General features: G+C 42.3%; 1 protein-coding gene across 3 annotated transcripts in view; it reads left to right on the forward strand.

The window, feature by feature from the left end:
- The window catches only part of CYBRD1 (cytochrome b reductase 1), a 35,897-nt gene that overhangs the window by 5,745 nt on the left and 15,986 nt on the right, over window positions 1-14,166 (forward strand). For 2 of the 3 annotated variants that reach the window (NM_001256909.2, NM_024843.4), the window contains exon 2: window positions 13,608-13,816. The exons of the other annotated variant lie outside the window; for it this stretch is intronic. In NM_001256909.2, coding sequence (NP_001243838.1) covers window positions 13,608-13,816 — 209 coding nt within the window. The remainder of the gene's footprint in view (window positions 1-13,607; window positions 13,817-14,166) is intronic. 3 annotated transcript variants of the gene reach the window in all.

Below are 14,166 nucleotides of genomic sequence, written 5' to 3' on the forward strand. Positions count from 1 at the left end.
GACTACCATGTCACTAATTCCATTGGTCAATTCTCAGTCCTAATAGTGTTTGAGTGGAAGGCAGCATTTGACATAATTGACCCCTCACTCCTCCTTGGGGCACTTTATTTTATTTTATTTTTTTTGAGATGGAGTTTTGCTCTTGTTGCCCAGGCTGGAGTGCAATGGTGTGATTTGAGCTCACCGCAAACTCTGCCTCCCGGGTTCAAGCGATTCTCCTGCCTCAGCCTCCAGAGTAGCTGGGATTACAGGTATGCACCACGATGCCCAGCTAATTTTGTATTTTTAGTAGAGATGGGGTTTCTCCACGTTGGTCAGGCTGGTCTTGAACTCCCGACCTCAGGTGATCTACCCGCCTCAGCCTCCCAAAGTGCTGGGATTAGAAGTGTGAGCCACCACGTCTGGCCGGGACACTTTCTTTACTTGGCTTCTCTTTCTTCACCTGGTAAGTTGGGTGGCTTCCAGGACACCTGATTCTCATGGCTCTTCTCTCTTTCCTGGCTGCCCCATCCTCAGTCTCCTTTGCTGGTTCTTCCTCATCTTCCTGATGACGGCAGGTTAGAGTGCTCAAGCCTCAGTCTTCTGACCACTTCTTTTTTTCTACACTCACTTCTTTGGTGGTCAATCTTATCCAGTCTCTTCTTCGCTTTAAGTACTATCTATACACTGAACCCTCTCAAATTTGTATATTCAGCCCAGACTCTTCCCTGAACTCCAAATCCAAATATCTGTTTGCCTACTCAAACTCTCTACTTGAATATCAGATAGGCATGTCCAAATCTCAGCTCTTGATCTTCCTCATGCCTGCAAAACCAACTCCTCCCATAGGTTCCACCATCTCAGTAAATGGCAACTTTATCCTTGTAGTCGTTCAGGACGAAATTATGCAGTCATCTGTGATTCTTCTCTTCCATACTTCTCAGCCATTTCACTAGAAAATCTTATAGACTCTGAATTCAAAATACAGTATTATCTAAATTCTGATCACTGACTATTAATTTATTGTCTGTCTTCTCCTACTAGAATATAAACTCCCAGAAGGAAGGGATTTTGTCTGTTTTCTTCAATGCTGTATCCATAGCATTACCCAACACATAATAAACATTCAATGAATATTTACTAAATTGATGGAAGTTTGGCCAGTTCTTTAAACCAGAGGGTCACACCAACAAGGATTGGAGTACAAAGTAAATAGGTGAAGTAGATTTAGTATACAGCACCCACCAGGGTGTCTTTCTGGATTCAACTAAACATTCAGACACGAGAAACTGCTGCCAGGGGCGGTGGCTCATGCCTGTAATCCCAGCACTTTGGGAGGCCAAGGCAGGTGGATCACCTGAGGTCGGGAGTTCGAGACCAGCCTGACCAACATGGAGAAACCCCATCTCTACTAAAAATACAAAATTAGCCGGGCAGGGTGGTGCATACCTGTAATCCCAGCTACCCAGGAGGCTGAGGCAGGAGAATCGCTTGAACCCAGGAGACAGAGGTTGCGGTGAGCTGAGATCATGCCATTGCACTCCAGCCTGGGCAACAAGAGTGAAACTCTGTCTCAAAAAAAAAAAAAAAAAAAAAAAAGACATGAGAGACTATTAAGACCATACTGAACACCAGTCTACTCAGAAGGATGTAGGACAGAAGTCAGAGCTTGCTGGCAGGACAGTGGCTGGGCAGTGGCAGTGGGCATCCTTGCAGCAGCAGTCATCATAGCCCTCAGTAAGCTATCCTTTCCTCAGGTAACAGCTCAGGCACCAGGAGATGAGATCTGCACTGGTGAGATCAGAGCTTAAAGTCCCCTTGCCCCATAGGAACCACTGTCTTTTGTAGTACTCTGTATACCTACTTCTATGATCCCTGCAAGGGATAGGTAGTGGGTTGAACAGTGCCCCCCAAAAAGGTATGTCTAAATCCTAATCCCAGGTATCCATGAATGTGACCTTACTTGGAAATAGGATCTTTGCAGATGTTAACTATGGATCTCAAGATGAGGTCACCCTGGATTTAGACTGGGCTCTAAATCCTATGATTGGTGCCCTTATAAGAGAAAGGAGAAGGAGATTTGAGACAAAGACACACAGAGAAGAAGGCTATGTGAAGACAGGCAGAGATTGGAGTGATGTGGCCACAAGCCAAGGAAAATGGAGAATTGTTGGCTCCCCTAGAGGCCGAAGAGGGTATGGCATGGCTTCTCCCTCAGGACCATCCTGCTATTATAACACCTTGATTTTTAATTTCTGGCCTCCAGAACTGAGAGATAATAAATATGTTGTTTTAAGTTACTAGATTTCTGGTAATTTGTTATGGTAGCTCTAGGGGATTAATATAGGCTATAACAGTTATCACTGCACTCTGGGAAGCCCAAAGTATTGGCATCGTCATCAGGTATTTACAGATTTTTCATTGTTTCTCTCAGTCCAGACACAGTTTACCAATTGGGTCAGTTTTTATTATAACCAGCGTTGCCTAATAACTGGTGACAAACCACTTATCTGTTTACTAAGGCAGTTAATTAAAGGTCAAATCCTCATGCAGCAGAGTATAGGTGTACACTTGTGTGAGAGGTGGGAACTGTAGGGAACTAGAGAGTGCTCACTCCTGGCAAAACAGGAAGCTTCCACTTAGCCCCAGTGGATCGTGGCTACGTGAGGATGCCAGTTCAAGGTTGCCAGGGCTTCTCATTCTCCCGAGAGAATCCAGGTTTTTAAAAAATTGGTTCAAACAAAAAGTAAACCAGCCACAAAAACAAAACCTCCAAAACATTGGGCTGATCAAACAAAACAACATCTTTGGACCAAATTCCAGTCCATAGCTTCCAGTTTACAGGTGACTCCTGCTAGGGTTTTCTGACTTGACTTTGCAAGGTTTTAAATTTTTCCCTTAAAAGGTAGAACATTCTTCCTTTTTAAGAAAGATAGAGGGCCAGGCACAGTGGCTCATGCCTGTAATCCCAGGACTTTGGGAAGCCAAGTAGGGAGACAAGCCTGGGCAACATGGTGAAACCCCATCTCTACAAAAAAAAATACAAAAATTAGCCAGGCGTGCTGGTGTGTGTTGGTAAGTCCCAGCTACTCAGGAGGCTGAGGCTGGAAGATCACTTGAGCCTGGGAGGTTGAGGCTGCAGTGAGCCATGACCATGCCACTGCACTCCAGCCTGGGGACAGAACAAGACCCTGTCTCAAAAAAAAAAAAAAAAAAGAAAGACTAGAAATCTTTGTTATAACTTTTTTCTTTATATAGAGACTTCCTTAAAAGGTCAAAACAAGCTTTGAAATGACTATACAGACTTTGGCTGTACTTTTCTAAGTTTTTGTTGTTGTTCATTCAATTTCTTCATATTATCCTATCCATTTAATTAACATATTTATTAAGTACTTACTGTGTACCAGACACTGTGTAAAACAAGTAAGATACAGCTCGGTCTGCAAGCTGTTCCCATTTAATTTGGTTGGACACGAGTTATGGTTTCTTTCTTTTTGCTTGTTTGTTTTGATACAGGGTCTTGCTCTGTCAGCCAGGCTGGAGTGTAGTGGCGAAATCATGACTCACTGCAGCCTCGACCTCCCGGGCCCAAGTGATTCTTCCACCCCTCTCAAAGTGCTGGGATTACAGTTGTGAACCACCGCACCGTCCCAGCTCAAATTATGATGGGGTTTTTTGTTGTTTTGTTTAGAAATGTAGGTTATATTGATCCTTAAATATTTAGAGCTGGCTGGGACCTTAAGTTCTACCCTTCATTTTAGAGACCAAATGTCTGGCCAGGGTCAGACAACCAGGTAGTATCAAAGCCAGTACTCTTTCTAACCTGTCATAATATTGATATGAGGCACAAGAAAATATAGCTGATCTTTCTGAAAACACACAATTTCTGAATATTTTTAAATGTGTAGTCAATTAATTGAATTTTTTTCTTTTTCTACATGTATTTGGTACCAAGTAGCTGCCTTTGCGAGGATTTTAATCACTCAGAGATGTTTCTAGGGCTAAAAATATCTTCCAAATCATCTGAATCACTTCCTTCATTTTGACTTTCCAGAGATTTTCAGTTTCATGACATTCGTGCTGTGAGACAGTTTGAATGCACAGACATGTTTCAAAGCTCTGATTCTCTTTGACAGCCACTGCAGGAATCTTTTCAAGAAGTTTATTTAAAGAAGATTCTCTGCTTTTTCATTTAAACTTAAGGTCCTTTGGATAGAATCTGGTAAGCTCTTGCGTGCAGAGGGAAATGAGTTGTGGAGACTGATAATCCTGTTCTGAGCATTCTGCCAAGGAGAGTGAAATAATACTTTATTCAAAGAGGGAAGGGAAGTGTAATGAGCACACCATGTTTAAGTAGAATTCATAAGTGTTTTAAAATTCCAGTGTACTTCAAACTCAATAACTTACTCTTATTTTATTTTTGAATTCACTTCAAGTTGTTAAGTGGGTCCAAGTGCAGAATGCTTTTTACTTATTTGAAAGGGCCATTTGGTCTTCTATTAGCTAATACTTGCATCAGCAGTACAATTTTTCTTGAGTTTTTTGATTTGTGCATTTTATGGGCCTGGCATGGTGGCTTATGCCTGTAATTCTAGCACTTTGGGAGGCTGAGGCAGGAGAATCACTTGAGCCCAGGAGCTGGAGACCAGCCTGAACATCACGGCAAAACCCTGTCTCTACAAAAAAATACAAAAATTAGCCGGGCATGGTGGTGTGCACCTGTAATCCCAGCTATTTGGGAGGCTGAGGCAGGAGAATATCTTGAGCCCAGGAAGCAGAGGTTGCAGTGAGCCAAGATCATGCCACTGCACTCCAGCTTGGGCGACATAGTGAGACTCTGTCTCAAAAAAAAAGAAGACTAAAAAATAAGTATGTGAGGTGATGGATATGTTAATTAGCTTGATTTAACCATTTCACGATGTGTGTGTGTGTGTGTGTGTGTGTGTGTGTGTGTGTATGGAAACATGTTGTATAGCACAAATATATGCAATTTTTAATTGTCAAGTCTCTAAATTAAAAAAATAAATTTTAAAAAAAGTAAAAGAGGATTTGCTCATTTGCTGGCAATACTGAATGAACTACTGTGCTTTATTAGCAATTATTCCTGTGCTTTATTTAGAATTATTTGGGCCGGGCATGGTGGCTCACGCCTGTAATCCCAGCACTTTGGGAGGCCAAGGTGGGCAGATCACTTGAGGTCAGGAGTTCGAGACGAGCCTGGCCAACATGGTGATACTCTATCTCTACTAAAAATACAAAAATTAGCCGGGCATGGTAGTGCTGGTCTGTAATCCCAGCTACTCTGGAGGCTGAGGCATGAGAATTGCTTGAACCCGGGAATCCGAGGTTGCAGTGAGCCGAGATCCCGCCACTGCACTCTAGCCTGGGTGCAAAGAGAGAGACTCTGTCTCAGAAAACAAAAACAAAAACATACTTACTGAATTCCTACTATATGCCAAGCTCTATGCTAAATACTGGGATGTGACAGTGAACAAGATAGACATGTTCCCGCCTTCATGAATCACAAGATTTAAACACAGAAGAACTAGAGTCAAAATGTTTTCCATGTTTGGGGACATTTCTCTCCCTCTAAGCACTCTTCCCCTACCACACACACTTTGACAGATTCTAAATTTGCATTGCCTGCTCTAAGACAAACTTGTGTATATAAATAGTTTTGTAATGGTATATGGATGGAAAGCTGGTGTCAAACCAGAGATTACATTTTAGAGAGTATACATTTTCACATATTCCCAAGTTTTGGTTATGCAACAAGGAGCTGAGACATTTTCTTTTCTTTTCTTTCTTTCTTTCTTTTTTTTTTTTTTTTTGAGACAGAAACTCCAGCTCTGTTGCCCAGGTTGGAGTGCAGTGGCTCACTGGGACTACAGGTGTGAGCCACCATGCCCGGCTAATTTTTCTATTTTTTTATAGAGACAGGGTTTCACCACATTGGCCAGGATGGTCTTGAAATCCCGACCTTAAGAGATCCGCCTGTCTTGGCCTCCCAAAGTTCTGGGATTACAGGCGTGAGCCACCACACCCAGCCGACATTTTCTAATAATTAAACCCAAATTCAAGTTACTGTATTTTTCTCTTCATTGTCTTAAGATAATTATACACAGGTATTCACTTCTTCCTCCCTCCCTTTCTTTCTTTTTAAGTTTGTCATGCTAGCATGTTCCACCATCAATATCTTTTCTTTTAAAGGATTTAAAGTGTATTTCTCATCTATAATGTTTGTATTTCCCCTCATTTTCTGGGAGAAATGGAATGCCAACTACAGCCTCTAACAGCAAAGCCTTGTTTCCGTCACAAGTAGCTGTTTTATACCATTTCCCCTTCTTGTGGGCTTAGGGGACCTTTTTCTTCCTTCTCATTGAACCTCAGGAATGGTGTCTAGGTAAGTGCCAAGCCAAAGAAGCAAGAAATATTTAAATTCCGCTCTCCAGGCAGTTTTTATAACTGTTGAGAATAGATTCTTGTTTAGGAAATATGGCTTGGTTTGTTAAGATTGCCCTTTTCTCCCAAAGTCCACCATATTTCAGTTACTTATACATTTTAAAAAGCATGTAAACAGCTTATGCAAATGCAACATTTTGCATTTATCCTTCATTTATCCAGAGAGCATTTTGAAGCATATTGAGCTTTGCAGCAGAGCCTCTATGTAGCCAGGATAGATGCTGTGAAAACTCCATGTGCTAGAGGTCACCTGCCTCACTTCTGTGAGAGCCCCTCAAATCTCTGCGAGCCACCTATTGAGTAGGTAAGACTAATTGGCTAGTGGGTTTGCAGGCTTATGGAAATATTGTTTTAACTTTAAAACTGGAATGAGCTCTTTCAACCATAAGAAAAAACATAATAGATCCCTAAGTACCCACGACCCAGATTTAACAGATGTTAAGATTTTCAGCAACATAAAATTTTATAAGCTGTTAGCTGGGTGTAGTGGCACACACCTGTAATCCCAGTTACAGTGGAGGCTGAGATGGGAGGATGGCTTGAGCCCAGGAGGCAGAAGTTGCAGTGAGCCAAGATTGCGCCACTACACTCCAGCCTGGGTGACAGAGTGAGACCCTGTCTCAAAATAGATGAATGAATAAATAAAAATAAGACATTTTATAAGCTAAAACTTAGAGCTGGTGGGAACCAAGGATGAGACAAAGTGATGGAGGAGAGAGGTTGGAAGTAGGTGCCCTAACTCAAGCCAGAAACAAAACGAGATAGAAAAACTCTGAGAGAGACCCAGGGACTCTCAAACCATAATTGTATGGGCTCATTTGGATCAGAGGTGAGCACCTCTCCTGCTTCAGAAACCCCTAAGGGCTTCCCTTTAGAGTAACAGGATAATAATTGGTGTTTGATTGATGACCCCAAATGATCAATAAAAGACTGAATATATTCTATTCATTCTACTGCTGGACAGGGAAAGCTAGCGTGCAGCCAATTTGCGTAAATGTAAAAGGTTTTTAAAAATCAAGTTTTGACACTCAGAGGGGGCAAAGTTCAGTTTTACAGCAAATTTGACACATTTCTCTGTGATGCTTCATAGCATTAGAAAGAGTAAGAAGTCTTCACTGGGAACACGGTTGTCTTTGAATTTTTGGCTTTATTTATTTATTTTTGAGACAGAAAAGAGTAAGAAGTCTTCACTGGGAACACGGTTGTCTTTGAATTTTTGGCTTTATTTATTTATTTTTGAGACAGAGTCTTGCTCTGTTGTCCAGGCTGGAGTGCAGTGGCTCGATCTCAGCTCACTACAACCTCCACCTCCTGGGCTCAAGCAATCCTCCTGCCTCAGCCTGCTGAGTAGCTGGGACTATAGGCACACACTGCCAGGTGTGGTTTATTTTTGTATTTCTTTGTAGAGATGAGGTTTCACTGGGTTGCCCAAGCTGGTCTTGAACTCCTGGGCTCAAGCAGTCTACCCACTTTGACTTCCCAAAGTGCTGGGATTACAAGCATGAGCCGCTGTGCCTGGCCCCCACACTTTCTAAAAGTAAACTTTTTACTGAAGAACAACATACATGCATAAAAGTACCTAAATCGGAAGGGATGTGTGTTTATCACATGCACACATCCGGGTACCCAGAACAAGAAGCAATATTCTGTGCACATCAGAACCCCCCCAGCAACCCTTGTAACTCCTTTGAGTCATGATATCATGATAGTTACTCTTTTTTTTTTTTTTTTTTTGAGACAGTGTCTTGCTGTGTCACCCAGGCAGGGTGGAGTGCAATGGTGCGATCTCAGCTTACCTCAACCTCTGCCTCTCGGGTTCAAGCGATTCTCTTGCCTCGGTCTCCCCAAGTAGCTGGGATTATAAGCACATGCTACCATGCCCAGCTAATTTTTTGGGTTTTTTTGAGACAGAGTCTGGTTCTGTTGCCCAGGCTGGAGTGCAGTGGTATTATCTCTGCTCGCTGCAACCTCCGCCTCCCGGGTTCAAGCGATCCTCCTGCCTCAAGCCTCCCAAGCAGCTGGGATTACAGACATGCACCACCATGCCCAGCTGATTTTTGTGTTTTTAGTGGAGACGGGGTTTCACCATGTTGGCCAGGCTGGTCTCAAACTCCTGACTTCAAGTGACCCACCCGCCTTGGCCTCCCAAAGTGCTGGGATTACAGGCATGAGCCACCACGCCCAGCCTGTATTTTTAGCAGAGACAGAGTTTCACCATGTTGGCCATGCTAGTCTTGAACTCCTGACCTCAAATGATCTGCCTGCCTCAGCCTCCCAAAGTGCTGGGATTACAAGTGTGAGCTACTGCGCCCAGCCTACTCTTGACTTTTAATATCAGAGATGAGTTTTTATTTTGGGAATTTTTGATATAATATGATCCAGATTGGGGAGAAAATGCTACTGTGGTTCATTGTTCATAATTTGCTTTTCGAGTGTTGAAATCCTGAGTATTTTTTTTTTCTGTATGTAGATGTTCAAGTTCACTCATCTAAGACTCCTTACCCGGAGTGGTGTTTGCATAATGTGATGGTGATGATGATAACAAAAAAACAACAATATTAATTTTAAACCATGAATTGAGGAGGGACAAACTACTTAACCTCTCTGCCTCAGCTTCCTCTGTACAATAGTAATAATAATTCTATCTTCACAGAGTTGAGGTGAGAATTATAATGAAACTGTGAAGCACTTAGATGGTACCTACTACCTAGCAAGGACTCAATTGTGTGTGTGTGTTTGTGTGTCTGTGTATGTGTGCGTGTGTGTGTAATAAATGAGCCCAACACAGGCAAGGGGGAGATGTGTTATTAGGTCTTCATATATCGCACATTTTTATTTTACTATTGCGTGATCACACACAGATTGCAGAAGGCTCCACTTTGTAGATAAAAGTTCACTAGGTCATTGGGTAAAGAGGCATTTGCTTTCCCAGGAAACTAAAGAATTATGTAGGGTCTGCTTAGAGGAGAAAAAGCATGAGGAGGGGAAACCACAGTGTTTGAGTTGACATCAATTTAGTTTCCAGATTTGATCAGTCTGTAGAAAGTGCTTTGTGTTTGTTTATTTAAACAATACTTATGGGTCACACATACACACAAGTAACCTAGTGAAATCTGAATAAGGGATGGAGGAGGAGGGAGAGAAAAAAATAAAAAATAAGTAAATTTTAAAAAAACCTGAATAAGGTCAGAGGATTGTATCAATGTCAATTTCCTGGTTGTGCTATGGTACCATAGTTATATAAGGTGTTAGAGAAAACTGGGTGAAGAGTATATGAGATTTCTCTGTACTGTTTCTTACAACTGCTTGTGAATCTATGATAATCTCAAAATAGTTTAAAAAATAAGTTCTAGTGTTCTATATAGCACTGTAGGACGACTAGAGTTAACAATAATATGCTATATGCTTTCAAGTAGCTAAAAGAGAGGATATTGAATGTTTTCAACAAAAAGAAAAGAGTTTGAGGTGATAAATATGCTAATTACCTTGATCTGATCACTATACATTGTATGTTTTGAAACATTACTATGTACCGCATAAATATGTACAATTATTATATGTCAAGTTAAAATTTTAGGCCAGGCACAGTGGCTCACACCTGTAATCCCAGCACTTTGGGAGGCCAGGGTGGGCGGATCACCTGAGGTCAGGAGTTCAAGATCAGCCTGGTCAACATGGCAAAACTCCGTCTCTACTAAAAATACAAAAATTAGCTGGGCGCGTATTCCCAGCTACTCAGGAGGCTGAGGCAGGAGAATCTCTTGAACCCAGGAAGTCGAGGTTGCAGTGAGCTGAGATCGCACCATTGCACTCCATCCTGGGCAACCAAGAATGAAACTCCATCTCAAAAAGAAAAATACAGAGATTTAAAAAATACTTATGGAGGAGCTACATGCTTTGAGTCCAGGGCTGCCTTAGGCTCTGGGGATACAGTGGAGAACCAGCAAGACACATTAACGCCCTCAGAGAAGATGAAGTAGGGGTGAGAGGGGGCCTTGAGTTTGCTTTAAAAGTGTACTTTTTAAGGTATTGCATTAAATCATTTGAAAAGATTCCTTGAATATAGAAATGATTATCCAAAAAGTCTCCACGTTCTCAAGGAAGTATAACCAATCGACATTCATAGGATACCCATATACACACTAAATTTAGTAAGTAGCAGTCCTTCAGGGTTGGGATTAAGTAAAAGAAATATTGTCCTAATGGTGAGGACTGTTAAGTGTTAGAATGGAACCAAAGAATAGGAAAAATGACATCCTGTGCTGAAAGCTTTAAAGAGGCTGAATTCACATCGGTCTTTGTAGGTTTAGATGTGTTTCTGTCTGAAAAAGGAATAGATAATCCCTTATATTTTTATAATCCTATGAAGTTCTTGGGTGTTTGTTTGTTTGTTTTTTGAGACAGAGTCTCATTCTGTTGCCCAGGCTGGAGTGCAATGGTGCGGTCTTGGTTTACTGCAACCTCCGCCTCCCGAGTTCAAGCGATTCTCCTGCCTCAGCCTCCCAAGTAGCTGGGATTACAGGTGCCTACCACCACGCCCGGCTAATTTCTGTATCTTTAGTAGAGACTGGGCTTCATTATGTTGGCCAGGCTTGTCTCGAACTCCTGACCTCAGGTGATCCACCTGCCTTGGCCTCCCAAAGTGCTGAAATTACAGCACCGAGTGGCTCACTGAGCGCAGTGAGCCACTGCGCCTGGCCTGAAGTTTTATATATTAAAATTATAAAAGCCTTTGGTGAAGTGAGGCTCCTTTTTATTTTCTGGAATTAAGAAATGTACATGAGGCCAGGCACTGTAGTTCATGCCTGTAATCCCAGCACTTTGGGATGCTGAGGCGGGTGGTGCACTTGAGCCCAGGAGTTCAAGACCAGCCTGGGCAACATGATGGAATCCCATCTCTGCTAAAAATAGAAAAAATAGCAGCGTGTGGTGGTGCATGCCTGCAGCCCCAGCTACTCAGGAGACTGAGGTGGGAGGATCACCTGGTCCCAGGAGGTCAAGGCTGCAGTGAGCTGTGATCGCAACACTACATTCCAGCCTGGGTGACAGAGAAAGAAAAGAAAAGAAATATACGTGATACCCTGCTGATATAGTGGAATCCATCGTCTGAGGAAGTATTCTATAAACTTTTTCAATCTGCCACACATTTCCAGATATCTAAATTTTCCCTGACACAGACTGGAGGGATGGATAGGGGCAGGATTTTATCTTCAGAACAAAAATTAACTGAATGTTGGTTAAGGTGGCCATATAATTTATTGCTTAAACCAGGACACTTAAGACAACCCTTTGTAAAAAAACTTTTGTTTTCTTTTTTTTTTTTTCCCCGAGACGGAGTCTTGCTCTGTCACCCAGGCTGGAGTGCAGTGGCATGATCTCAGCTCACTGCAACCTCTGCCTCCCAGGTTCAAGCGATTCTCCTGCCTCAGCCTCCCAAATAGCTGAGATTACAGGTATGCACCACAATGCCTGGCTAATTTTTTTGTATTTTTAGTAGAGACAGGGTTTCACCATGTTGGTCAGGCTGGTCTTGAACTCCTGACCTCAAGTGATCTGCCCACCTCGGCCTCCCAAAGTGTTGGGATTACAGGCGTGAGCCACCGCGCCAGGCCATAAAAAACTTAATTGGAGTTTGTTCTACATGCAGAATGATGAATCTTCTGTCTATGACACCTGTGAAACCAGCACCTAGATTGAGAAACAGAATGTTAGTAGGAGTCTTCAAAATCCCTTGTGTGTTCCATTGTAATTGCTGTATCCTTCCCCACGAAGGCAACTACTATCCTGACTTTTCCAATGCAGAGATGAGTTTTGCTGGTTTCTATACTTCATATAAATTGAATTACACTATATACTTGTTAACGTCTGGCTTCTTGAGATTGACATTATAGGTTGATCCATATTACTGGGTCTAGTTCTAGTTGTAGATCGTTTCTTTCCATGGTGTAAATTTATTTATTCATTCTATTGATGATGGGCATTTGGGGGAGTTTCCAGGTTTTGGTTACTATAAATAGTACTGCTAATAATATTCTAGTATCTTTTGATGATCATATAAATATTTCTTTTTGGCATATACCCGAGAGTGAAATTGCTGGACAATAAGGTATGCATAACTTTACCTTAAGTAGATACTGCCAGTTTTCCAAAGTTTTGTTCTCATTAAAGCACTCATCAGCAGAACATTAGAGTTCTGACTGCTGTATATTCATTTTGATACTTGGTGTTTTCCAGGTTTAGCCATTCAGATATGTGGTAGAGGTATTCTCATTCGGCTTAAATTTGTATTTCTCTATTGCATGGTTTAAATTTGCATGTTTTTCTGTTCCTTTCTTTTTCTTATCAAACTAAGACTTTTTTTTTTTTTTTTGTCTTCCTCTGTTGCCCAGGCTGGAGTGCAGTGGCGCAATCTCGGCTCACTGCAACCTCTGCCTCCCGGGTTCAAGCGATTCTCGTGCCTCAGCCTCCAGAATAGCTGGGATTACATGTGCATGCCACCCCATGCCTGGCTAATTTTTGTATTTTTAGTAGAGATGGGGTTTCACCATGTTGGCCAGGCTGGTCTTGAACTGCTGACCTCAAGTGATACCCCGCCTCAGCCTCTCAAAGTGCTGGGATTACAGGCATGAGCCACTGGGCCCGGCCAAACTGAGACATTTTTAAGAAGAAAGGAGACAACAGGCATAAATCAGATTGTTAAGATTAGGAATTTGGTTTTGGATAAGTTTGAGATGTCTGGGAAGCAAACGCCGTACGGAAATACCAAGAAGACATTGGATTATGCAGATCTGAAGCTTAGAAGACAGTTCTGGGCTGGAGATATAAATTTTTTGGAGTCCCTGCCATGGAGACAGCATTTCAGTGAAAGAGTGAATGAGATCACCCACAAGAGGGAGTGCAGAGGGAGAAAAAGCCCTAGGACCGAGCCTGAGAGGCACCAAGGTTCATTCACAAGTTGGGAGTGAAGAAAATGCCAGCAAAGGAACTCCTCCACCGTCCCCTAGAGGGAGCCACTGAGAGGCAGGGGTAACATGGGGAAGAGGGGAGAAGCAAAAGCCAAGGGAAAAAGGTTTCAAAAAGGGAGTGTCCAGTGTGTCAAACTGTTCATTTTGTGTTGTTTAAAAAACAAAACAAAACACATTCTGTGTCCTTTCGTCTTTCCCTAGCCATCATCGTCTACAGACTGCCGTGGACCTGGAAATGCAGCAAGCTCCTGATGAAATCCATCCATGCAGGGTTAAATGCAGTTGCTGCCATTCTTGCAATTATCTCTGTGGTGGCCGTGTTTGAGAACCACAATGTTAACAATATAGCCAATATGTACAGTCTGCACAGCTGGGTTGGACTGATAGCTGTCATATGCTATTTGTTACAGGTCAGTATTTCAGTGTATTTACAAGCAAGTTATAAAAACAATTCAGAGACTGTAAATGTTTTCTTTTCTTTTTTTTTTTTTTTTTTTTTGAGACAGAGTCTCGCTTAGCCACCCAGGCTGGAGTGCAGTGCTGCGATCTTGGCTCACTGCAACCACTGTCTCCAGGGTTCAAGTGATTCTCCTGTTTCAGCCTCCCAAGTAGCTGGGATTACAGGTACCCACCATCGTGCCAGGCTAATTTTTGTATTTTAGTAGAGATGGGGTTTCACCATGTTGGCCAGGCTAGTCTTGAACTCCTGACCTCAGGTGATCCGCCTGCCTCAGCCTCCCAAAGTGCTAGGATTACAGGT

The sequence above is a fragment of the Homo sapiens genome, chromosome 2 (assembly GCF_000001405.40).
Source record: "Homo sapiens chromosome 2, GRCh38.p14 Primary Assembly".
In the NCBI taxonomy this organism is placed as follows: Eukaryota; Metazoa; Chordata; class Mammalia; order Primates; family Hominidae; genus Homo; species Homo sapiens.